Source organism: Homo sapiens, chromosome 3 (genome assembly GCF_000001405.40).
Source record: "Homo sapiens chromosome 3, GRCh38.p14 Primary Assembly".
NCBI classification, from domain to species: Eukaryota; Metazoa; Chordata; class Mammalia; order Primates; family Hominidae; genus Homo; species Homo sapiens.
The window spans coordinates 195,603,860-195,630,147 of NC_000003.12; the positions used below are offsets into that span (position 1 = coordinate 195,603,860).

Consider the following 26,288-nt stretch of genomic DNA (forward strand, 5'->3'; position numbering starts at 1 on the left):
TGGTGGCAGGCACCTGTAGTCCTAGCTACTCAGGAGGCTGAGGCGGGAGAATGGCATGAACCTGGGAGGCTGAGCTTACAGTGAGCCGAGATCACGCCACTGCACTCCAGCCTGGGTGACAGAGCGAGACTCCATCTCAAAAAAAAAAAGAAAAAAGGTGGTGCGACGTGGGGAGAAAAATAGCCAGAAAAAGGAAAAAAACAAAAACCAAAAATAAAAACAGGAAAGATTTTTGACTACTCAAGGGGCTTTATTTACATAATGAAGCCCCTTTTTGCTAGCCAGGCCAAGCTGAAAGAGCAATGGCTGTTGCCCTGCACTGCAGTTCCATAGCAAAAGGTTCTACCTTCTTTTTCTCTATCACAACAGCCTGGGTTTGGTTCCTAAATCAAGCCCTTTCTGCTTTGGTACTTGTCACTTCTGAAAGAACAGCATTTTTTTTTTCTAGCTGAAATATGGTAATAGATTTTAAAAGATGTTTTAAAAGGAGCTCAATGGTTAAAAGTCAGCTTAATTAAAAGCCAGCATCCAAGATGTATGTGTGTTTGTGTGTGTGTGTGTGTTTATTTAAAAGGCCTTCATGTTGTTGTTGTTTTTTCTTTCTCCTAGGACCTTGTCTCTTTTTTTGAGCAAAAATGTTTTTCTTCTCAGTTGACTGAATTCTGTTTTCTTCATTTACTTCTCCTGTCTCTCCTTTCTCTTGCACACGCTACTGCATGACGGACCTAAAATAGTTTATAATAGCCTGGGGTTCCTTAAAGAAAATGGAGAAAGCACAAGACTCCCTTTGGGGCACAAACTTGTTTTTCCTTATGGAACCACAAGAGTGTAAACAGACAAGTTCATCTCAGCTCTTAAACTGCTTGCCTTTGTACTGTTACCTGATTTATTGACAAAAATAGTTACTGCAACATAGGCTGCTCTCGGGTTTTTAAGGAAGAGTGTAGTTTAGACACTATGAAATGTGTTTAGAAAAAGAGATGAAGTTTTGCACTTGTTACCCAGGCTGGAGCACAATGGCACGATCTCGGCTCACTGCAACCTCTGCCTCCTGGATTCAAGCAATTCTCCGGCCTCAGCCTCCCAAGTAGCTGGGATTACAGGTGCCCACCACCACACCCAGCTAATTTTTGTATATTTAGTAGAGATGTGGTTTCACCATGTTGACCAGGCTGGTCTTGAACTTCTGACCTCAGGTGATCTACCCTCCTCAGCCTCCCAAAGTGTTGGGATTACAGGCATGGGCCACCAGTCCTGGCCAAAAAAAATTTTTTTAAGTGCACTGTAAAAGTGTCATGTGGTCTAGCCTCATAATAATTCTGCCTTTTTGGAAACCCAGGGTTCAGTGTGTGCTCTGCCCAGGGCTCAGAGATCCAGTTAAAAGATAAGTAGTCCCTATCTAAATAAAATTGGTCTCCTCATACAATTCTATGATAGATTTGCATAATTTTATGTTTGATTTGGCATCCATCTTGAATATCCCTCCAGCAATACCAGGCTTTCTCTCTCTCTACTTTGAGAAGTAAATTTTGCTATCTGATTTTTCACCCAAGAGTTGTTTCCTTCAATTGCAAATTTAGGGCTAATTAGCTGAAATAGGTTATCAAGAGTTTGCAAGTCTATGATAGGAAAAAAGGTAGGTTTTAGGGATCTATAATATGTGCTTCTATTGGTATGCTTAATAAATCTATGTATTTATGTGTTGTGTACACAATGTTTCACTACTAAAAATATATAAAAGAGCTCTAATCAATTGGCTTAAAGAAAAATAAAAGCACTTAAACCAAGTATTTTATCAAAAAAAAGGAAAGACTAGTTAAATGCTTTTTCTAGTTTCTGTGACTTAAGTAAAATCTTTAATAAATAAGCTAGCTTTAAAAGTATTGGTAAAGTAATATTAAAAATGTCTTAAGAATTGCCAGCATACAGTTTTGTTTGCATTTATTGATCAAGCAATTTCAAACTTATCCCTGCCAAATGCTATAAGGTGTCAAAATTTGGCATAGGGGGTTACAAAACTATAAACCCAGCTCAAAACAGAATGATCTTTGCTTGTGTCACTTTTAAATAAGTAAGACATTGATATTGGTTTAATGAAGATAGCTACTTCTTGAATTATTTAGTAAAATTATGGTAACTTCTAATCTCATGGCTTTAGGCAGTCTTGTCCACAGGCAGTAAGGAAATTTGCTTTGGGAAAGGACAGTTATCAACTTTGTTTCAAAGTAAACTATAAACTAAGTTCCTCCAAAAGTCCCGGAATGAACAAGGACAGCTTGGAGGTTAGAAGCACGATGGAGTCAGTTAGAGCAAATCTTTTTTGTTGTCTTAGTTAGAATCTTGCAATGACGAGTTTTGTAACTTTAAATGATGACTATCACAGTTTTCATAAATAATCTAGGTAAATGATTAAAATAAAATAATTAGGTAAATGTCATGGGATAAATACCTATAGACAAACTTGTGATAATTTAGAATCTAAAGTTAAATTAAATAATAGATATTTCATTATTTGGGTTTTTCCAAAAAAAAAAATTGTAGGAAAACATTCTTTCTAAAAAAAATGGCCTTTGTAAAAAGGTGAACAATTTTTGTCTAATTCAAAGTTCATTTAAAGATTATGTATAAAACAAGATAAAAGGAACTGGGAAATAAGAGAGATGTAAAGAAAGTTATAGAAATAAGGAGGTATTTTTTTTGTAAGAAAGCTTAAAGAGAAATAATTTTATATGAGAAAGAATCTTGTATGGTAAATTTAGTCCTAGAATAAAATGACTGGTTGTTTCAGAAAGAAGGATGTTCAGGAAAAAACAGAAAGTCCAAGCATGTCATTAATGGTCTGTGTAAGTCACAGTAAGAGGATTTATTTAAAACAAACCAAAACTTTTTTTGAGACAGAGTCTCGCTCTGTCGCCCAGGCTGGAGTGCAGTGGCGCGATCTTGGCTCACTGCAAGCTCTGCCTCCCGGGTTCACGCCATTCTCCTGCCTCAGCCTCCTGAGTAGCTTGGACTATAGGTGCCCACCACCATGCCCGGCTAATTTTTTGTATTTTCTGTAGAGACGGGGTTTCACCGTGTGAGCCAGGATGGTCTCAATCTCCTAACCTCGTGATCCGCCCACCTTGGCCTCCCAAAGTGCTGGGATTACAGGCATGAGCCACTGTGCCTGGCCAACAAAACTTTTATATGATCGAGTTGTCTATAACTACAGAGAAATTACAATGTTATAGAGATTGGCTTTGATGTAAAAAATACACTTACACACTAAATAGTTGATTAGAGCAATAAAATTTTCTTAAGGGATTGATTTACTCTTAGTAAATTATAGGAGATTTTAATTTTTTTAAAACCAAAGTTCAACTTTTATTGCATCTTGCCGTTTTCAGTTTTCACTCCCCTTTGAAAAGGCATGAAATAGTAACGCTCTCCTTCAACTCATTTTCGGCTCATATAAGTTTTTTTTCCCTCAACTTCTTTCTGTTGTGGCCTGATGCTAACAATGTTTTCTTAAAAGTCTAAAGGAAATGTTTTCTTCCAACATAATATTCTGTGCACTGCAGAAGGTCTCTTCTTTTGTCTTTTGGTAACTGGCTTAACAGATTTTGTCTTTTATCAAAATAATCCCTATGCCATTATTGTTAAGTTTTGGTTTGCTTAGAAAATAACTGAGATTAAAACTTTTTTTTTAAATTAAGGTTATTACATCCATGTATCTTTTTATATGTGCTTTTAAAGTCCTTGTGATATAGAGTACAGGGCTTTGAGTCCTGGGTCTGAAAAGGACATGAAGTCCTGCTAACTCTTAAATACTGGCAGTAATTAAAGCCTCATCTTCAGGCTCAGTAAAAGAAGCCAATCAAAATAAACTGCATTTATTTGCATTTTATTTTGCAAACACAGGGCCAGAAATTAAAGCTGTTCAATTCCTCAAAGGCCAGGGACTATCAGAGAAGAGGTGTGTGTGAGATTGTAAGGGCCAATGTCGAGTGATAAAATAAGCTCAGTTTCTCTATAAATTAACCATTAATGTCAAAGGCACACTAAGGCAAGACCAGCATATGGGTGCCTGTGTCAGATTAACATTTTCTTGAAGCATTAACTGACTCCCAAATAAAGGCTATAAAGGTTATAAAAGGCCTATGGAAGTTACAGCTTATGGTCAAGATTAAAACTTTATAGATTGTTCATGAAATTTTGGAAGTCAAATTTGATTGGCTTCATGCTGTTTTTATTAGGGCTTATTGTTTGGAAAATTAAGTCTCCTCTCAAAGAATGAAGGTTTTCACCTTTTTTTGAAGTTCTTGAGTTATCACTCTGGTTAAATGAATGATTTATTTACAATAACCTGTGATCCTATTTTGTGATATCAAGTGTTTTAAACCTTTGATATTTGACAAACTTTCCAAAGTCAAATTATAAACTATGTCTTTTACTGACCTAGTTAATCCTGTAAGATATTAGATTCCTAGGGGGAAATGTGAAAGGAAAAGAAATCTTGGGGCCCCCAAAATCACTAAGCTAAACGGAAAAGTCAAGCTGGGAGTGGCTTAGGGCAAACCTGCCTCCCATTCTATGCAGTCATCCCTCCATTCACTGAGATAAATGCGTATCTAATTGCCTCCTTTGGAAAGGCTAATCAGAAACTCAAAAGAATGCAACCATTTGACTCTCACCTACCTGTGACCTGGAAGCTCCCTCTTTGCTTGAGTTGTCCTGCTTTTCTGGATGGAACCAATGTTCATCTTACATATATTGATTGATGTCTCATGTCTCCCTAAAATGTATAAAACCAAGCTGTGCCCTGACCACCTTGGGCACATGTCGTCAGGACCTCCTGAGGCTGTGCCACAGGCATGCAGCCTCAACCTTGGCAAAATAAACTTTCTAAATTAACTGAGACCAGTCTCAGATATTCAGCATTCACAGTATCCAAAAATCCAATCACATCTGAAACTGCCTTTGCAAAAATTATCACAGTGAGAAAAAAATGGCAGTGAAAGAGATCTGACCTGGCCAACCTCCCTCTTGCCTTTAGCCTTCAAGCTGCTTTTAATTATTCCTGGGTTTAAGCCAAGCTACATGTGGGAGTCATTTAGTTTATAGTTTAAATGATAGTAACCCTTCCCTCAAACTCAACCAGCCTTGTAACACTGAGAGACCACCAGGCTAGGAGGAGGAGATGAACCTAAATTCTGCTAAGGTGTAGACATAAACAACTGTGAGGCATTATTCCAGAAGCCACAAGATATGCAACTTCCTCAGTTACCCCTGCAGATAATGTTACTTTTGTAGAACCTAGGATTGGCCTTCTGAGATATCTTCTCAGGATTTTTTGCATGTCTGATGACCGATGGCTCCACCGGGACCAGCTAGTGGCTTCTGTTTCCCCACCCAGAAGCAACTCAGAGAAAGAGGACAGCTTTGACGCCCTATGATTTCATCTCTGACCCAATCAGCACTCCCCATACCCTAGCCCACTACCTACCAAATTACCTTTGAAAAATCCCTAACCTCCAAGACTTAGATGAGTTTGATTTGAGTAATAACTCTGCCTCCCACATGATGTGGCTGGCATCATATCAATTAACCTCTTTCTTTACCGCAATGCCATGGTCTCCATGAACTGATTTTTTTTGTGCAGTGGGCAGGAAGAACCCATGGGGCAGTTACACATCTTGAAAGAGAAGCTCTTCCTGTGAGGTACATCAACTGTGGTTAAGAATCTTACGTACTTATCATTTTTTGTTGTTGTGAGAACATTTAACATCTACTCTTTTCTTTTTCTTTTCTTTTTTCTTTTTTTTTGAGGTGGCGTCTTACTCTGTTGCCCAGGCTGGAGCGCAATGGCGTGATCTTGGCTCACCACTACTTGCTGGGTTCAAGTGATTCTCTTGCCTCAGCCTCCTGAGTAGCTGGGATTACAGGCATCTACCACTCTTTTAGCAATTTTATTTATTTATTTATATAATTTTTTAAAAAATATCTTTAACTTTTATTTTAGATTCAGGTGGTATATGTGCAGGCTTGCTATATGGGTATATTGCGTGATGCTGAGGTTTGTGGTATGAGTGATCCCATCAGCCAGACAGTGGGCATTGTACACAAGCAATATACATAATGGTGTGGTATGGTGGCACATACCTGTAATCCCAGCTACTTGGTAGGCTGAGGCAGGAGAATCATTTGAACCCAGGTGGCAGAGGTTGCAGTGCACTGAGATCATACCACTGCACTCCAGCCTGTGCAACAGAGTGAGACTCTGTCTCAAAAAAAAAAAAAAGAAGGTGGTTTTATAATCAGCTATAAAACTCTAAAAGGTGCTCTTGAATGCAGGTTTCTGCTAACTTTGGAGATTGTGACATTAGAATAGAGGAAAAACTTTCGGGACTCATGGAGAGCTGAAATGTTCATGAATATCAAGCAGAACAGGAATTAACTGCATGGACTGAAGTAATCTTTTTGACTTTTTGCTTAAAACGTTGTTGATCTTTTGTTTTGTTTTTTCAGAGTCAAGGAAACTTTTCTTTTGAGCTATTGACAGCTTTTAACAAGTTATTGTACTCCTATGAACAAAATTTGGAGCATATTCATTTCTCTCTACCTGATTTCTCCAGAATTTGGCAACTGTTTGTGAGTATCCTTATCACAATATAGTTATTTGCATAAGTGCAATAATAATCTGTCTTTATTTGTAACAGGACACAATTGGAGAAACTGGTTATTTTACCAGCACTTTGACTAGAATGATGTGCTTTCCTTTAAGGAATTAAACTTGTTTTATGGAGCCAGTAAAAGCCACATGCTCTGTCTACACAGTCGCTGAACAGGGTTCCTGCCCTGTGGTAAGTAAAGAATGTCACTTTCCGACAGGCCCAGGAGCCCCAAGTTTTACCTTGGACCCTCAAAAGGAGAGGAATTCATGCAACTCATAGGTATTTGATGGTACAAATCCATGGCAGGGCTCAGCTTTAAACAAGTCTTTTCTGAGATTCCTTCTATGGAACAAAGTTTCATCAAAGCCAATTTAAAAGCCTGTGTAAAAAAATAATTATTCTAGCTGCACTGTATACAAATAATCAGGCCAAGAATAATAAAGGAAATCAGTCCTACCATGATTTGTCTTTAGTAAAAATGAGAAACTGGAGAGAGAAAAACTATGTTTTAAGAACTATAGTACACCTGTTGTTAGATTCTAGTCTTGCCTAATGTTTTTCCATTTTTATTATTTTCTGCAGTTTGGACCAAATTCTAATTTTTCTTGGCTACAAGTCTTCAAAATAATGTTTTCCATTTTTTCCCTTTCTTTTTTCCCATTTTTCCTAATTTGGAGTTACTGAAAGCTAAGCTGTGCTTTTTGAAGCCCTGTGAACTGAAGCTAGACAACTTAAACTTCAGAAGAAAATAACAGCAGCCTATTTACATATATAAGCTACTTTCATACCTGCCTACTGACGTATGGACTTCAGAGTAATGTGGCCTATATCGATTTTCTAGGATCGTTATTTTGTTTGTTGTTTTTCTCCCTTCCTCCCCCTATTTTCTCTTCACAGGACATGAGGATTCTCAACCTGCTAATAATGAGCTACCTATCTAGGGTAGCTATTGGGACCTACCTATCTAGGAATAAACCATCCTAGCCATGAGAGACCCGATGAAACCTCAGACCAGAGACTCATTTTCTTCTAAAATGCTTTCTCCAAAAGATTTTTAAAAAGAAAAGGGGGAAATGTGAAAGGAAACTGTCTTGGGCCCCCCAAAATCATGAAGCTAAAGAGAAAAGTCAAGCTGGGAACGGCTTAGGGCAAACCTGTCTCCCGTTCTATTCAAAGTCACCCCTCTGCTTACTGAGATAGATGCATATCTAATTGCCTCCTTTGGAGAGGCTTATCAGAAACTCAAAAGAATGCAACCATTTGTCTCTCACCCACCTGTGACCTGGAAGCCCCCTCCCTGCTTGAGTTGTCCCACCTTACCAGACTGAACCAATGTTCGTCTTACATATGTTGATTGATGTCTCATGTCTCCCTCAAACGTGTAAAACCAAACTATGCTCTGACCACCTCGGCACATGTCACCAGGACCTTCTGAGGCTGTGTCATGGACGCGAGTCCTCAAACTTCGCAAAATAAACTCTCTAAATGAACTGAGACCTGTCTGAGATATTCGGGGTTCACAGTTTGCTGTCTCTCTTCACTAGGAGAGTTGTTCCGTGAAGGCCGGGATCTCTTTTACTGAGTGATGTATTCCAAGTGCCTGGAGCAATGTCTGGCATGTAGAAGGAATTCCGTACGTGCATTAAATTAATGAACTAGCCTCCTACGCTCATTCAAGGTGAGAGCTGAGTTTGGCTAAAATATGGCCCAGGAACTTTCTGCATAAGACTCTTATGGCCCCCAGGGCTAACAGTCATCTGCCCAGGCTTGTAAATTTCCCAAATACCGAGGAAAATGGTCCAAAATTCAGCAAACCCAGGGAAGCTCTCAGCCAGGCTTCCTTTCCAGGGATTCCTCACTTCCTCATCTGCAACAGGCTGGGGTGGACTCACTTGCTGCTGGAATGAGGAAGCCCCTATCCCTGCGGGGGCGGGGCTGGAGGAGGGCTGGGGTGGCTGAGAGGAGCTGCATTGGTGCTTAGTCTCTTCTCCATCTTCCCTTGGGCTAAGCCTCACAGTGGGTCGCAGCTACTAGATGGGGTCTAAGAGAATACAGTCCTTGCTGTGGCCCTGCCCTCCTCTCCCTACCTGACTCCTCCTGGGGGGAGTCCTTGTCTCATTTGATAAGCAAAGAGCTGGGGCTGAGTGGAGGATGGAAGGGGCTCAGCCTACAGATCAATGGTGTCCAAGATCCCCACCCCAAGTGCTGGGTTTTGTCCCCTATGGACCCCCCTCAGCCTCTTCTGGGGAGTCTTCCTCCTCCTATTCCCTCCCATTCCCTCCTTCTTCCCAGCAGCACAGCCCAGAGCAGAGTAAATTTCTGGAAGACAATGTCACGCCCAACGCAGAACCCCAGACCATGGGGCCAAAAGGACCCTGTAGATCATGTTGACGGAGGCCCAGAGAGGGCAGATAACTTGTATGTTCACACAGCTTCTTGGTCAGTGTTAAGAGTAAATTTCTGGAAGACAATGTCACACACCCAATGCAGAACCCCAGACCACAGGGCCAAAAGGACCTTGTAGATCATGTTGATGGAGGCCCAGAGAGGGCAGATAACTTGTACGTTCACACAGCTCCTGGGTCAGTGTTAAGGAGAGAGCTGGAAATGGAACCTGGACCTTCTGATTTTCTTTTCCTTTTCTTTTTTCAGACAGAGTCTTGCTCTGTTGCCCAGGCTGGAGTACAGTGGAGCAATCTTAGCTAACCGCAACCTTCACCTCCCAGGTTCAAGCAATTCTCCCACCTCAGCCTCCCGAGTAGCTGGGATTACAGGCGTGCACCACCACACCTGGCTAGTTTTTGTATTTTTAGTAGATATGGGGTTTTGCCATGTTGGTCAGGCTGGTGTCGAACTCCTGGCCTCAAGTGATCCCCCACTTTGGCCTCCCGAAGTGCTGGGATTACAGGCATGAGCCACCACACCTGGCTAGTTTTTGTATTTTTAGTAGAGATGGGGTTTCGCCATGTTGGTCAGGCTGGTGTCGAACTCCTGGCCTCAAGTGATCCACCCACTTTGGCCTCCCGAAGTGCTGGGGTTACAGGCGTGAGCCACTGCACCCGGCCTGGATTTAAAGTTCTTTCCAGCTCTGAGATGTTGTGATTCCCTGATGCGGATCCAGCAGGCTTTCTTCTACCCAAGAGCTGCCTTCATCAGCGCTCCTGCCCTGAAATTCCCAAGCTACCTTGTCTGGTCACTGGCCAGTGGCCATAACAGTTCACGTCCGTGGCACATGGAGGGAGTAAGATTCTTCTCTAGGGAGTTTGGAAATATATTTGGTAACTGCATGTCCCTTCTCATGGCTGAATCTCTAGCTTGGCTGAGTCATCACCCTCACGCGTCCTCTCTTCCTAGGCCTTGAGACCAGATGAGTGCACTCATCTTTTCCCTCTTCCCAGCTAGTCTCTTCTCCAGCCCCGTGCCTTCGGTCTGGCCAATGTTCCTGGCTTTGACTGGGATGCAGAATCACAGGATGATGAAGATGGAAGGATGTTAGCAATTAGAGTTGTCCCATACTGGGGAGCCGTCTCTTCTCCCCAACGCTTGAGGATCAGAATGGATGTCGGGGTTCTCGCTCATTTACTGAGCACCTAAGATGTATATATTTTTGATAAGCATCAGCTGTGTAGCAGGCACTGTGTAAGAGCTTTACTGTCGCATGTGATCCTCACGACAACAGCCCAGCGAGGTAGGTTTATCCATTTACAGAGCAGGAAGTGAAGGTTCAGCCTGGCTCTGAAATTTGCCCTTGGTGATAGAGCTAATCATGCCCAGGACCAGGAATGAAACCCAGGTCTGACTCAAAGCCCAAGCTCCAGGCACGGGAGGGGGTGATGGTGAAACGTGACCTCCTGTGGCCTTCCCAGCACAAGACTGAGGGGTCGATGAGGAAGTGATTTGGCTGGGCATGGTGGCTCACGCCTGTAATCCCAGCACTTTGGGAGGCCGAGGCAGGCAGATCACCTGAGGTCAGGAGTTCGAGACAAGCCTGGCCAACATGGTGACACCCCGTCTCTACAAAAAATACAAAAATTAGCCCGGCATGGTGGCACACGCCTGTAATCCCAGCTACTCGGGAGGCTGAGGCAGGAGAATTGCTTGATCCCAGGAGGAAGAGGTTTCAATGAGCCGAGATCTCACTACTGTACACTCCAGCCTGGGCAACAGAGAGAGACTCCATGTCAAAAAAAAAAGCTACTGATTCCACATCTTCAAATTAAATTTCAGTGGAGTGTTTACTGGGCAAGGAAGGCAGGGGGGTCATCTTGCTGACAGCCTCAGCCTGCACATTTGTGATCACTTGGCCACATCCTGGAAACTACTCAGTCACACACCTGGGCAGGAGGCTGCCCCTCCTCCCCGGTTTGAGGTAGCAGGAAAAGGTACCCGCGAGAGACAGCCAGCAGTTCTGTGGAGCAGCGGTGGCCGGCTAGGATGGGCTCTCTGGGGTCTGACTCTGCCCCTTTTCTTCTTCTGCTGGGAGGGTGGGGTCTCTAGGAGCTCTGCAGGTAAGGAGGCCTAGAAGGGCCTGGTGGGCCTCTCCCCTAGTAGGGCTCTGGGAGTGAATTTCAGTATGAGACACCCTTCATGGGCAAGGGCAGGCTCTCTCGGGTTGATTATAATGAACCACAGTGCTACCTGTGAAGTGCTATTATTGTTGATAAAGAGTGTGCAAATGACGGTGTGAGTGAGTGTAAGCGTGCATGGCGCTGCAGTACACACTAATCAACCATGACCATGAGTGTGAGTGTAAGCGTGCCTGGCGCTGCAGTACACACTAATCAACCATGACGCTGCCATCATAAGGGGTGGCTGAGAGTTTGTCTTTATGAACGTGGGACAGTAAGTGGGGCACGGAGCGGGGGTGCAGGGAGGTGCCAGCTGGTGATCATTGTGCAGAAAGCTGAAGAATGTGGCTTAACAAGATTCTGACTCCTCCCAGTTTATTACCTAGCATGGATTTCCTTCAAAATACAGATTTCGTGTGAAAAGTCCAACTGCCACAAACTGCTTGGGAAGGGTGGATGCTGACAGGCAGGGCTTTTGTGAAAGACGGGAATGAACCCTGACCTGTCGCTAATAGGAGTTGTGCCAAACTCATCACATACATTAAAAAATAGAAAAGGATTTATTATTTTTTTTTTTTAGAGCAGTTCTATGCTCGCTCTAAACCTCGAGTGGAGAGGCCGAGTGTGGTGGCTCACACCTGTAATCCCAGCATTTTGGGAGGCTGAGATGGGTGGATCACCTGAGGTCGGGAGTTCGAGACCAGCCTGACCAACATGGAGAAACCCCGTCTCTACTAAAAATACAAAATTAGCCGGGGTGGTAGCAGGTGCCTGTAATCCCAGCTACTCGGGAGGCTGAGGCAGGAGAATTGCTTGAACCTGGGAGGTGGAGTTTGCAGTGAGCTGAGATCGCACCGTGGCGCTCTGGCCTGGGCAACAGGAGTGAAACTATGTTTCAAAAAAAAAAAGCTGCAGTGGAGAGTCTGGAGTTCCCATCCCCACCACTCACAGCCTCCCCCATCATCAGCGTCCCCCACCAGAGTGGCACATTTGTTAGGACTGAGGAACCTACTTTGACGCATCATTATCATACATTGTATTTTTAATCCTCACAACGGCCCTGCAAGATCGGCCCTGTTCTTACCACCCCCCACCTCCACTGCTTTGAGGATGAGGCCACTGTGCTTCTGGGCATCCAGTAACAACTCCTCGGAGCCAGGATCTGACTCCTCACAGGCCTGAGCACTGCACCCCGTGGCCTCCTGCCTGTGCTCACCGTGGCCTGGTCTGCGCTGCACGTGTCCCGTTAGCTCCACCTTACAGGTGCGGAAATGCAGGCTTGGAGCTGAGAGACTTGGCCAGGGTCACAGGGCAGAGAGCAGATTCTCCAACTCAGGGTCCCAAGTCCACACGCTTTCCTCTCCACCAGATTTGAAGATTGTACCAGGAGAGCCGCAGTGTTCCAGAGCTACTGAGGGGCTGGGCCGGGATTTGCTGTATTCGAGAAGACCCCCTTGGACCCGAGAGGCTGTGGGCTTGGGGAGCATGAGGAGGTTTCACAGCAGAAAGGACACCCCGGGGCTCCTGGATAAGCCAGAAAATGTGCCAGGGGAAGTCGGGCTCCAAGGGCACCACTCTGGGCTTCCAGCTGTGTGGGCTGGACCAAGAAGGCTCAGAGAAATGATCTCAGGCTTGAAGTGGGGAGAAGAAACTGTATTATGAAGGCAGATGAACAGTTCCTGCAAAAGTGAGATTTGTGTGTGCAGCTGGGCCGCACCGGACCAGGGATGAGACTGGGTGCCCGGGACTCGCCTATACTGCCTGGGGGTGCAGCCCGCACTCCTCACTATAGTCAAATCGACTATGCGTGCTTTCCAGGGGCCTGGGAGAGGACTCCATGTGGAGGGATGCTTACCTTGTGGGCTTTGGAATATAAGCCCTTTCATCTTCTCCGCTGGTCCTCACCACGTTGGCAAGGCAGGTATTGTGACCCTGTTTTCTCAGGTGAGGACATGGAGGCTGAGAGGGGTCTAGAGACTGGCCTGGCTAGTAGGAGGCTGAGTCAGGATTTGAACCAGCAGATCATCTGACCCCGGAGCCAGTCGTGGGCAGCACAGCGGGAGCTGCAACCGAGGCTCTTGACTCCTGCCTCGTCATTCCCTGAGGTCCACAGGACAACCAGTTGGGGACCTGGGGCCCCATCCTGATGCCCTGGGGAGAGGTGCTAGGCCCCTTTTGGGTCTATGGGCTACTTTTGGGCCAGTGGAGCTGGGTAAAGACCATCTCAAACCCTGTGCCAGGGGAGGTCAGACTCCAAGAGCGCCACCTTTGGGCTTCCAGCTGTGTGGGCTGGACCAAGAAGGCTCAGAGAATTAGGGGGTTCGTATTTGATCCTTTTCCTTCCAAGACTGGGATTACCAGATAAAACACAGGGCATCCAGTTACATTTGAATTTCAGGTAACAATTTTTTTAAGTGTAAGTATGTAGCCAATATTGCATGAGAAATACTCATGCTAAAAAGTTATTCGTCGTTTATCTGAAATGCAAGTTCAAATTTAACCGAGTACCCTGTATTTTTATTTGCTAAATCTAGAAACCCTCTCCAAGAGGCTCCTTGGCCCACTCACAGGGAGAGCCCGATCTCCCTCTAGACAGGGGAGGCCCCCTTTCTCAGGCCAGAAAAGATCTTGTAGTAAACTACTCAAGAGGCTGAGGCAGGAGGATCGCTTGAGCCCAGGAATTCAAGACCTGCCTGGGCAACAGAGCAAGACCCTGTCTCTAGGGAAGATATCCTACCGTAGCCTCCCTCGGGGACTCCCATTCCTCCCACCTCAGGGCCAGTCAAGGGAACAGGCCTCTGCTCTGGGCAGAAGTGCCGGCAGCCGCTCTCTGAAAAGCTAGGTGTTGCCTCAGGGGCTCCCGGTGTCCTGTGGAAAATGCCTGGCCACGGTTTCCATGGTTCCCAGGCTCCAACCCTGCAGTTCTCGGCCCTCATTCAGGAGGGGCCTCGGCAGGGTGGGGGGTGCCGTCTTTCCCTTGCCGGAGCCCCAAGGACTCTGCCGGCTCCCTCGCTTTGGCAGCAGCACTGCCCACCCTGTCTCTGGAGGTTCCCCCGCCTCAATCCACCCAGCTACCCCGAAAGGCACAATCATAGGCCTTTCTCGTCTTTTAAGGGTTTTTACTTCCATGGGGAACTATGTGTTGGATGAGAAAAGTACCCGGGGAAGGCGACAGAGGTTCAGAAAGCTCTGCGAGTCCTGGACGCTGGTCTGCCTTCTTGGCTCACCCTGGAAGGTGGACGCTGGCCCCACACATCCCCTCTTAAAGACGCAGGCCGATAGCCAGCAGATCCTGGGGCTTGCTGGCCCCAAGTGAGTTGTCAGGGTTTCAGAGGACGCCAGTCATGGCAACCCCAGCTCCATGGCTGCCACACAGGCCTGGGCTTCCCAGGACTGCCTCCTTCTTGTTCGCTTATGTAGATGAAAAATGAGGTAACGGCACTCCCCTGCCCCACCCTCCTCCCAGAAGTGCCCAGGGTGTAAACGCAATAGCTTGTGTGAAGTCCACTGGAACCCAGGCTCACCAAGTCAGTCTTAACCAACACAGGCCCCAGCACCCGCAGAGCAGACACTGCGATGACAACGGACGACACAGAAGTGCCCGCTATGACTCTAGCACCGGGCCACGCCGCTCTGGAAACTCAAACGCTGAGCGCTGAGACCTCTTCTAGGGCCTCAACCCCAGCCGGCCCCATTCCAGAAGCAGAGACCAGGGGAGCCAAGAGAATTTCCCCTGCAAGAGAGACCAGGAGTTTCACAAAAACATCTCCCAACTTCATGGTGCTGATCGCCACCTCCGTGGAGACATCAGCCGCCAGTGGCAGCCCCGAGGGAGCTGGAATGACCACAGTTCAGACCATCACAGGCAGTGATCCCAGGGAAGCCATCTTTGACACCCTTTGCACCGATGACATCTCTGAAGAGGCAAAGACACTCACAATGGACATATTGACATTGGCTCACACCTCCACAGAAGCTAAGGGCCTGTCCTCAGAGAGCAGCGCCTCTTCCGACGGCCCCCATCCAGTCATCACCCCGTCACGGGCCTCAGAGAGCAGCGCCTCTTCCGACGGCCCCCATCCAGTCATCACCCCGTCACGGGCCTCAGAGAGCAGCGCCTCTTCCGACGGCCCCCATCCAGTCATCACCCCGTCACGGGCCTCAGAGAGCAGCGCCTCTTCCGACGGCCCCCATCCAGTCATCACCCCGTCACGGGCCTCAGAGAGCAGCGCCTCTTCCGACGGCCTCCATCCAGTCATCACCCCGTCACGGGCCTCAGAGAGCAGCGCCTCTTCCGACGGCCTCCATCCAGTCATCACCCCGTCACGGGCCTCAGAGAGCAGCGCCTCTTCCGACGGCCCCCATCCAGTCATCACCCCCTCATGGTCCCCGGGATCTGACGTCACTCTCCTCGCTGAAGCCCTGGTGACTGTCACAAACATCGAGGTTATTAATTGCAGCATCACAGAAATAGAAACAACGACTTCCAGCATCCCTGGGGCCTCAGACACAGATCTCATCCCCACGGAAGGGGTGAAGGCCTCGTCCACCTCCGATCCACCAGCTCTGCCTGACTCCACTAACACAAAACCACACATCACTGAGGTCACAGCCTCTGCCGAGACCCTGTCCACAGCCGGCACCACAGAGTCAGCTGCACCTGATGCCACGATTGGGACCCCACTCCCCACCAACAGCACCATAGAAAGAGAAGTGACAGCACCCGGGGCCACGACCCTCAGTGGAGCTCTGGCCACAGGGAATCCCCTGGAAGAAACCTCAGCCCTCTCTGTTGAGACACCAAGTTACGTCAAAGTCTCAGGAGCAGCTCCGGTCTCCATAGAGGCTGGGTCAGCAGTGGGCAAAACAACTTCCTTTGCTGGGAGCTCTGCTTCCTCCTACAGCCCCTTGGAAGCCGCCCTCAAGAACTTCACCCCTTCAGAGACACTGACCACGGACATCGCAACCAAGGGGCCCTTCCCCACCAGCAGGGCCCCTCTTCCTTCTGTCCCTCCGACTACAACCAACAGCAGCTGAAGGACGAACAGCATCTTAGCCAAGACCACAACCTCAGCGAAGACCACGATGAAGCCCCCAACAGCCACGCCCACCACTGCTCGGACGAGGCCGACCACAGACATGAGTGCAGGTAAGTGGCTCCTGCTGGTGATCTTCGGGGATTTGGGATGCGGAGTTTCCAGGACGTCTCCGCACTTGAGGAGTGGAGAGGAGGGAAGGATCTGGAGCCTACTCACAGCCTGCTCCTGCTGTTGCCTCTTCGTGATCTTCTAGTGGTTCTTGGCGAAATCAGGAAAAGGCAGATGGAGGGTTGTGTATGGAAAGGGGTGGGGATGGAAGTCCGGAGAAATGGTTTGCGGTCTTGGCTCTGCCTGTAACAACCCGAGTGACCTTGGGCAAGTCCCTGTCCCTCTCTGGGCCTCAGTTTCTCCACCTGTATTTGGAGAGGGTTGGAATGGGCACTGAAGTCCTGTCCAGCTCTGACCTTCTGTGAAGTGCACTGTTGAGCAGCTCTGGAAGCTTCTGTTCCAGCCATAGCCACACAGAGGAGCAGCAGGCAGGCATCAGGCCCAAACTGCTGCTCTCTGATGGGCTTGGACCCCATGAAAGTGGGGCCTGCTGGATGCATTTCCTGGGATTCTGTGGAAGCTGATCAGGTTGCTGGGGCAAGTGGAGGCAGGATAGAGGTGAAGGGCTGTGGGATGGAGAACCTCAGAAGACTCCATCTGGGGTCCGGGAAAGGACAGAGAGGGTATATGAGGGGTCGGGCCCTCCAGATCTAAGGGTGGGGTGGTGGCATGTTTCTTGAGTTGGTTCCTGGAAAGGGAGCTGAAATGGTTTAATCGCTCTTCCATGAAACGCAGGCGGTGAGGACAGCCACCAGACAGGTAAACACACTGTGCATTGATCCTTTTACGACTTTTGTGAAACTGATGGACAGGCAGGCAGGGAGGAGTCCTGGGAGAGAGTCTGGGGCACTCCATCTTGGGGTAACTCTTTTGCTCTCCTCCTTTAATTATAATTATTAAATAATTAAATAATAAATAATTAGAGAAGTGCACAGATACATATGCCCCTGGACGTTCAGATCAGCGTGGTGGATAATAGTAACGTTTCAGAAGTAGGGTCTGGTTAAATAAACTACTGCACATCTTTACCAAGGGATGGTGCTTCCTATGGAAAAAGTTTCCTAAGGAAAAAGGTTCCTGTGGAAAAAGGTTCCTGTGGAAAAAGGTTCCTATGGAAAATGCTTTCCTGAAGAGCACATGCTTTGAAGGTGGCCAGACTTGGGTGGAAACTGAAACTCTGCTAGTGACTAGATGTGTAATTCAGGGAACATTCCTTCACTCTTTCAGCTTCAGTTTCCTTATCTTTAAAAGGAAATGATCATAATAGCACTTATGCTGCTGTGAGATTTAAATGAGATAATGTGTCCACAGTACTCAGTACAGTGCCGGACACACAGTAAGCACTCAAACAATGGTAATGATTATTATAATGTATTTTAAAATATGACACTATATTCAAACATACCATTATAATATGTCAAATGGGAATGTGGACACAATATATGAGACAACCTGTTCACAACTGTTTAATGAGGAGGTTATCCAACATTAGGAATGATTTGATCCTTCAATAAAAAATCAATGTGTGAAGGTTCCTAGGCATGAAAGAAAGTTCAGAAGGATATGTACGAAATATTGTTGTCTCTCTGGGGATTGGGATTACAGGGATTTTTTCCTCTTTTCTTTTTGTTAAGTTTGTGTTTCCTAAAGTTTCTGCAATAAACGTACGATGCTTGTATAATAAAAATTATAGGTTTTCCTTAATTGCATAGTCAGGGCTTGCCTCCCTGCGCCTCCTACCCCAACTCCCCAACATACAGTAGTTCTGAGGGATTTCACCCCCTGCTCCGGGAGAGAGCGGGCTTAGCCTGGATTCTGGGAGAAGCTCTTGCTTGGTCCCAGACCCAAGTAAAACAGCAGTTCCTGTTGTGTTTGGGGTGTGGCCACTGCCCTGCCCTATACAGAAAATAGGATGCGTTGCGTTATTCCTTTGTTTCTCTGACAAGCTTGCCAACTTATTCCTGTTCCGGGAGAACCGGGGGCTGTCAGCACTGAAAGGGGGCTCAGAAATCCCATCTCATTTTCAGATGGGGGTGCTGAGGCCTGGCCTGGGGAAGGTGCTTGGAGGGTGTTGAGGCCTGGCCTGGGGAAGGTGCTTGGGGGTGTTGAGGCCTGGCCTGGGGAAGGTGCTTGGAGGGTGTTGAGGCCTGGCCTGGGGAAGGTGCTGGGGGGTGTTGAGGCCTGGCCTGGGGAAGGTGCTTGGAGGGTGTTGAGGCCTGGCCTGGGGAAGGTGCTTGGGGGTGTTGAGGCCTGGCCTGGGGAAGGTGCTTGGAGGGTGTTGAGGCCTGGCCTGGCCTGGGGAAGGTGCTTGGGGGCGTTGAGGCCTGGCCTGGACTGGGGAAGGTGCTTGGGGGCGTTGAGGCCTGGCCTGGCCTGGGGAAGGTGCTTGGGGGTGTTGAGGCCTGGCCTGGCCTGGGGAAGGTGCTGGGGGGTGTTGAGGCCTGGCCTGGCCTGGGGAAGGTGCTTGCACAGGGTGACATCATTTCAGGGAGTAGTTGCCTCTGTCCCTGGCCAGTCTCCAGTCTCCAGCTTCATATCCTCCCACTGGAGAGCAGAGACGATGGGGGTGTCCCTGTGTATGCTTAAGTGCAATGGCATTTTAAGAAAACTATTAGCAATTTTATGAAACTAAATTGCTGCTGTTTTATTAGCAGCCACAGTCAGCAAGGCCCTGGCTGGGTGCTTGCTCCGTGAAGCTGTATACGTGTGACTGCCTCAGCAGCGCTGGCTGCTCCTGCTCTTGAATCTAAAAAGCAGCTGGACAAAATGTTCACGTTTTCGCTCAAAACCAAACAAACAGAAAAACTCAATTAGCTTGTTTGTGTGGGCTGAAGCACCTCTGTTTGCCCGCCCCCCGCAGTGACCCCCATAGTGTCCCCGGAATGGACGGACTCACGGGCTGTCACATCGCGCACGTCTTCCCCGGAGAAGGGATGTGAATCTTGGTGGGGTGGGGGGCACTACCTGGCCCAGCACAGGGTGCAGGTGGGTGACCCGGGAGACTCTCCCCGCTCCAGACCTGTCATCATGTTGCCATCTGAGGCGGCACTCACAGGTTTGCGGGGCTGCACATCTTTGGGGGCCTCCACTCAGCCTGGCACAGTGTGTGCCCAGCAAGTAGACGACCGCATCCTCGCCAGCATACATGTGCTAGAAACTTCTGTCAGGAAACGCCGCTCTTCACAGCCAAGGGTGGAAACTACTGGATGCATTGCAGAGCTGACGCCCTCCCTCCGGCCTGGCTCCGAGCCATGCCTGGTGTGGTGGAGGGGTGGAGGCCACCCTCACCGGGCCCTGTGTGCTGCTCTGATGCCGCTGAGGGGGCCGGGGCCTGGGTGTGCCCTCAGCGCATCCACTGCAGAGGGGAGCCTGCGCCCACGTTTTGGCTCTGTGGGTAAAGGTGGCCACCCCCTGAGCTTGTAGAGGTGTGGGACACTTCCCGATGCTGCCTGCCATGATTTTACATGAAAAGCCAGGAAAAGGCACTGAGGAGCCACCTGACCCCACGGAATGCCATTTCCTGGGGTTGCTTGGCCAGAAGTCATTGACACAGCCCTGCCAGCCAGAAGCTGGGGCAGGGACGGGGTCCTGCCTTCTGGGACAGGTTCTGTGTGTGCGTGACCATGTCCCAGAGGTCTCTGCTCAGCCCTGGGGGCGGGTGGGGGTGGGGTTGGAGGGTGGATGGTGGGGGTGGGGCCAAGTTAGCCCGAGCGGTCTGTGAGGTGAGAAGGGCCGGGGTCTCTCCTCCTCTCCTCCGCACCCCACCCCGCCTTGCTCTGAATCTCTCCCTCTCTCTGTCTCTGTTGGTCTCTTTCCCTCTCTACTCCCCATTCTGGTGTCTTTGGAGCCCTGGGTAAGGTGTGTGCTGAGTCCGGTCTGGTTTGGGGTAGATGTTCTTTGATCTGTTACCACACCTGGAGGGAAAGCCCCTGGCCCGCCCCCCCTCCGTTCCTGCAGAGCCAGGCCCCCCAACCAGTCGGTGGGCAGGATGCCCACCAGTTGCCCCCATCTGGCCCAGGGGGACCTTTCCTCTGCTCTCCAGGGACCACTGCAGGTGGTGTGGCCCCTGAGGGGAGCATAAGGGTGCAGTGCCTGACTCAGGGGACACAGAAGCCCCGTCCATACGGCCTTTTACACAGCACAGCACCCAGCCCTCGGCAGCCCAGAGCAGGAACCAACAGGGTAGGTGCCCAGGGGCCCCAAAGGTCAGAGTTCCTCGCACAGCTGCCAGGGAGCACAGGGACCGCAGCACAGGGTCTTCTGCTCAGCACCGGGACCCCGCTCGCTGCAGCTAAAGAAACAGATACGTCCAAGGGCTCCACGGCCGGGGCCGGGCACCTGGAACAGGGTGGTCCTGGGGCGGCCACATCCACTCCTTCCAGGTGAGTTCCCGGTGACTCTCGGCCTGCAGTCGGCCTTGCTGAATTCTCTTAGGCCACCTGGCTGCCCCCTGCTACGCGTCCAGCTGTTGATCGCCCACTGACCTGTAGAAGACCTGGTCAGCCCCTCTGTCTTCCGTCACCCATGGAGGCGCCTGCAGGTGCTCCGCGCAGCCCGCCCGGCCCTGCACAGACCCGAGGCGGCACCAGGGGGCGCTGCCGGCCCGAGGACGCGGGCGCGGGGCGGAGGCTGCGGGGCAGGAGCCGCTGTGCGCGTTCAGGCAGCTGCCCGGGACCCCTGGCACCGACCGCAGCCCCCAGAGGCCCCCGGGGGGTTTCCGCCTGAGCCTAAACCGAAGACAGGGCATGTTTTCAGTCATCCCGACCCCACAGACTCAGCCCGTTAGTTCCCGCGCTGCCCGGCGCCCTAGTACCCAGAGCCGGTGGGGACTCCAGGCCACCAAAGGCAGGGGCGGGGCGGGCGGTTGAAGGAAGATTGGGACACGGAGAAGAGGGACAAGGCCTGGGGCCCGAGGGGTCAGGACGCTCTGCCAGCCTCACCACCCGCAACACCCAGGCACGGACGCACGCACACACTCCACACGTGTGAACACGCACGCATGGCTGCACACACGTGCACAGAGAGGCACAGCCCGCAGGAACACAGATGCACGCACACAGGCACAGGCACGCTCCCTCACTCACTCTCTCTCACACACCCCAGGTGCAGACACCCCCACCCAGAGGTTGCAGCTCGGATGGAGAAACAGGCTGGGTCACAAAAGCCCCGGGAGGCAGCCCCTGCTGTCTGGCGTCTTCTCTGGGGAAAGCTTTCCGGAGCCTGATGGAGGAAGACAGAGGAAAGAGACCTGTGTTCCCTGATGCACTGGCCAGCCGCTTCCCGGGGAGGAGGAGGCAGAAATACACAGTAACTGATTGTTGCCTTTGGTCTGTGAACTGTACTATGGAACACTGGAACTTACTCCTTCACCTGACTGCATGTTTGTGCCCCATAACCAGCCTCACTTTCTGTCTGCCTCTCACCCACACACCCTGCCTAGCCTCTGGGAACCACCAGCCAACTCTCTGCCTCTGTAAGAGCCACTCTTTCAGTGCCCACAAATGAGTGAGAACATGGTACATTTGTCTTTCTACCCCGGCTTACTTCCCTTAACATGACAGCCTTCAATTCCATCCATGTTGTTGTAAACGACATGATTTCATTCTTGTTTATGGCTGCGGAGTATTCCATTGCGTAAGATACCACGTGTTCTGTATCCATTCATCCATTGATAGGCACCCAGGTTGATTCCATTTGGCTTTTGAAAGTGTGTAGTTGGAGAATCCAATGTGCCCCCTCGGGTTTTCAAAATGTGGGCATCTTGAGTGCGGGAAAGGAAGTGCCTGCCGCTCCCCAGGGCACCCGGTGGCATCTGCAGAGGGGAGGCAGCCACAGCAGGCCTGCCGTGGTGACAGCAAATAGCCAGGCGGCCAGGGAGGCTCCTGCGGTGACAGCCCCGGGTCACAGGGTCAGAAGCAGCCCACCGGGGCCGGGGTGGCTTGCGTTAGTTTGGGAACATTTTAAGCCATTACCACTTTAAATACTGATTTTGCCTATTCTTTCTCTCCTTCCCAGAACTCCAGTTACTCACGTGTGGTGTCTTCTCATTGTGTCTGCTGTCTCTTCCCATCTCACTGGGGCAGTAGGGCTGCCATAAGCCAGCACCACAGACCAGGGGCTCCACAACCCTGGTGGCTGCAAGTTCAAGATCAACACAGGGACAGGGTTAGTCTAGTGAGGCCTCTCTTCCTGGCTTGTGGAGGGCCACCTGCTCCCTGTGTGCACAAGGCCTTTTCTCTGTGCACACGCATGTGCACGCGCACACACGTGCACACACATGCACACACGCGCACACACACGTGCACACACACGCACACATGCACACACACGCACGCAATCTGGTGTCTCTTCCTCTTCTCATAAGGACTCCAGTCCTATCGGATCAGGGCCCCACCCTGCTGGCTGCACTTCACCTTAATTACCTCCCTAATGTCTTCTCTCCAGACAGACTCTCCTTGGTGGGTGGGGCTTTGTGAGGGTTTGAATGTCCGTGTTCCCCGAAATTCATCTGTTGAAATCCTCACCCCCAAGGCGATGGTGTTAGGAGATGGGGCCTGTGGTAGGGACGGGGTCCTGAAGGTGGACCGCTGATCATGGGATCGGTGTCCTCATAAAAGAGGCCCCAGAGCGCCCCTCCCCCATCCCCCATGTGAGGACGCAGTGACACACCAGGGAAGCCGGTCCTCACCACACACGGAATCTGCCGGTACCTTGATCTGAGACTCCCCAGTCTTCAAAGCTGTGAGAAATGCATTGTTGTTTCTGAGCCCCCAGTCTATGGCATTTTGTTATGGCAGCCAGAACTAAGCCAGGCTTCCGCATGGGCATTCTGGGAGGACGCGGTTCAGTCCCTCACACTTGCTCTCTCTATTTTCCTCCTTATGCTTCTGTCCTTCATTCTGAGAATCTTCTTCTGACCTACTTTCTAGTTATTCATTATTGTTCAGTGATATCTAAACTGTTTTTAAACCCACTTACTGAGTTCTGAAACATCGCTTGTATTTTTTCCAGGCAATCATTTTTGTATTGCATTTACAAATAGGCATGGAAATAGAGACTGCAATGGGAAAATAGAGAACGCAATGAGAAAAGTTGGAGTTCTAGAAAGAAAGTGGAGGGAGAATAGGAAGAATACAATCAGCAAAGAAAAAAAAACAAATCTTTCCTTTTTGTGTAATTTTTATTTCTCCACTGAAGTTCTTGACCTTCTCTTTTTCTTCTCATGGACAATGTCTCCAGCGCTCTCTGCAGCCGGCGTCTGAGGGTGCTGCGTCTGCATTCTCGTGTAGACGTTTTCATTTGCTGGGTTTCTCACCGCTTATACTCACATTGCCATCTCTCCATGTGTGCCTGGCTCTTTCTTTCTTTGCCTGACATTCTGTTTGCAGTGTTTTGGAAGGAGAATCTGAGGCCAGAATGATGGCTCCTCCAGAGAGGGTGAGCCTGAGTGCCGGCAGCCTGGAGGGGCAGGGCGGTGGCTCTGGTGTCCTGCGGTTTGCGTGGGCTCTCTCTGCACTTACACTCACAAAAAGACAGTATCTCAGGCAGGAATTCTCGCAGGGTGCAGGCTTCTCTTTTGACAGTTTAATGTCACGCGTGGGTTCCTTTGTAAACATCAGATCAATAGCGGAGTTCCAAATTAAAACATTAGGATAAGAAGCCCATGTTGACTCATCCGTCCCTGGAATGGCCTAGAAGACGGGGCACTTGGTGTTCGGAGATGCGTCTGTCTCAGGCCGGCCTCCACGGGTCAGGTAGCCTAGGGTGGGAGGAGGAGGGCGGCGGGCAGCCCCACAGCCGAGATCCAGGAGAAAGGAAGAGCCACTCACTTTCTCTTCTTCACAAAGTCCTGGGAACGCAGGGAGGGGAGACGGGGTCTCGTTCTCAAAGGCAGCTTTGTAGCCAAACTGCTCCCTCCCGGCAGGAAGAGAATCCCCGCTCAGAAGAAAGGAGGACCACCCCCGATGACGGCAGGTGGCCCCAAGTGTTTGGATGCGGTGGGCCCCACTGGTTTGGGCCTAACCTCAAGCGGCTGCTAATGGTTCCATGACACTTTTCCCGCTAACACTTCACAGAGATGTCTGACTGATGTCCACTGCTCAGCTGCACCGCTGAGCTGGTGAGCATTCAGGCAGAGCACCCACCTCTACTTTTCTCACCCCGAAAATCAGAGACTGGTTCTCAGCTGGTGCAGCCACCGCCCCAGCGTGCCGGATGCAGGACTTTCCCTGCGAACACTGGACAGTCCCAGCAAAGCAGACGGTGGGTCGCTCTGTATCTCTGAAGAACAGCTGGGCCTGCGTGTGTCATTCTCAGGCATCTGGCGCAGGGCTTCTCCTCCAGGAAGGTGGCTGCTCAGCTCCGGGCACTGCCAGGGGCCACGGACCCCGCATCCTTTCCAGGCTGTTCCGCAGCATCTGCCCTCATACTCACAGCCACCGCTGCGTGTGTCCCAGGGATTCTCAGAATAGAATTCTGTGCCTCTCTCGCCTCTGGAAGTGACCGCGCTCTGTAGGAAAATATCACAGCACGCCGGCCTCGAAAGGCCACGACGTGGCCCTAAACTGTTCTAAGTATGTCAGTTACTTAGAACAATCAGAAAGGGGCAGAACAAGCTGGGGTGTGGAGTCAGGGGTCAGGGCACAGACAGCATCTCTTGTCTTGCAGAGAGAATGCTAGCAATTTGCAAGTTACTTGAAAAGGTTTGTGATTTTCCAACGCCCTGAGTAATTCTAGCCAAAATGCGTGACTCGCCTCACACTAGATGCTTGCTGTAATTGTGTCTCTGTATTAAACTGACCGTTCTTTGGAGCTTCAGAATGGACCAGGAGGAAAAGGTAAATACCAACCTCGCTACAACCTCAGAGGCATCAACGCCCTCCTGCTACAGACGCATCTGTTCTCGCCTGGCTCCTGCCGGCTGCCCTGGGAGAGGCCACAAAATGCCCTCCACGGAGACAAGGCCTGAGAACCTTCGGGACGCCCGCTGCCGCTCACTGTGTTGAAGAACTGCCCGTTCCGCACCCCGGGCCCTAGACACACGGCTCTGCAGAGGACGAGGAAGTGCCGTCAGGTGAGACTTCACCATGAAATATCTTCTGAGACACAACAATCTCCCTGAATTAAAACTACAGACTCTAATTTATAAAAACTGTGTGTTTCAAAAGCTCCAAGTGTTTACATTCTCCGATTCATCATTCCTTCTTCTAATTTATTTTAGGAAATAATGCAAAGTACTCACAAAAATTTATATAGAAAGATGTTCATTGCAGAATTCATTATAATAAAAACCTTTAAATGCTCTGAGTGCCCAGCGTCAGCATGGTGATAACATACATACGAGGGAATATTGTGCAGCTGCAGTTAGTTCTTATTACATTTCACAGGCATCTTAAATGCTTTGTGAACACCGGTGCATAGATTTTTTTGTTTGGTATAGATGGCAATGATTAGATGGGTGAAATAATAAAAAAAATGGACATATAATTTTAAAAATATTGAGTGACAGAAAAAAATGAAAAAATGTTAAAGAACTTTTTGGTTATGATATTATCACTAAAAGGCCGTGTCTCCTTGCTCCCTTCTTTGGGGACGGTTCTGGGCTTGCCTGGCCCGTGGGTGGGAATTGTGGTGCTCCAAGTGCCTTCAGCTGCTGCTGGGGTCCCAGGAGCCCAGCCTAGGTGTTCTTCCATCCTCACCACCCCATGGCCTCCATGGAGCCCCACGGCAGCCTCAGGAAGGAGGGCAGTATCGTCAGAACACAGTCCTCATGGACCCCCCAAGAGACCCTTGGGCAGAATGCCCCATCCCACCCAGGTCCAGCTTCACTCAGCACGTAAACAGGAACACGGCTGCAGGCAGGCTCCACGCACCCCGTCCCCAGGGAAGCCGCAGCCCTCGTCCCACGTATCCCGGGCAGG

The 26,288-nt window shown here is 49.5% G+C and overlaps 1 pseudogene, besides 4 other annotated features; it reads left to right on the forward strand.

The window, feature by feature from the left end:
• MUC20P1 (mucin 20, cell surface associated pseudogene 1) lies at nt 14,766-16,378 on the forward strand (annotated as a pseudogene).
• Nucleotides 15,042-15,196: a silencer, noted in NCBI's record as "fragment chr3:195345772-195345926 (GRCh37/hg19 assembly coordinates)". NCBI's record gives its function as "represses an EF-1alpha promoter that drives an FKBP-Casp9 reporter gene in an ReSE screen in K562 erythroleukemia cells {active_cell/tissue: K562}" and the evidence as "EXISTENCE:reporter gene assay evidence [ECO:0000049][PMID:32094911]".
• Nucleotides 20,116-21,112: an enhancer, noted in NCBI's record as "H3K27ac-H3K4me1 hESC enhancer chr3:195350846-195351842 (GRCh37/hg19 assembly coordinates)". NCBI's record gives its function as "activates a minimal SCP1, AML or CMV promoter by ChIP-STARR-seq in naive H9 embryonic stem cells {active_cell/tissue: H9 hESC(naive)}" and the evidence as "EXISTENCE:reporter gene assay evidence [ECO:0000049][PMID:30033119]".
• Nucleotides 23,718-24,342: an enhancer, noted in NCBI's record as "H3K4me1 hESC enhancer chr3:195354448-195355072 (GRCh37/hg19 assembly coordinates)". NCBI's record gives its function as "activates a minimal SCP1, AML or CMV promoter by ChIP-STARR-seq in naive and primed H9 embryonic stem cells {active_cell/tissue: H9 hESC(naive and primed)}" and the evidence as "EXISTENCE:reporter gene assay evidence [ECO:0000049][PMID:30033119]".
• Nucleotides 24,343-24,965: an enhancer, noted in NCBI's record as "H3K4me1 hESC enhancer chr3:195355073-195355695 (GRCh37/hg19 assembly coordinates)". NCBI's record gives its function as "activates a minimal SCP1, AML or CMV promoter by ChIP-STARR-seq in naive H9 embryonic stem cells {active_cell/tissue: H9 hESC(naive)}" and the evidence as "EXISTENCE:reporter gene assay evidence [ECO:0000049][PMID:30033119]".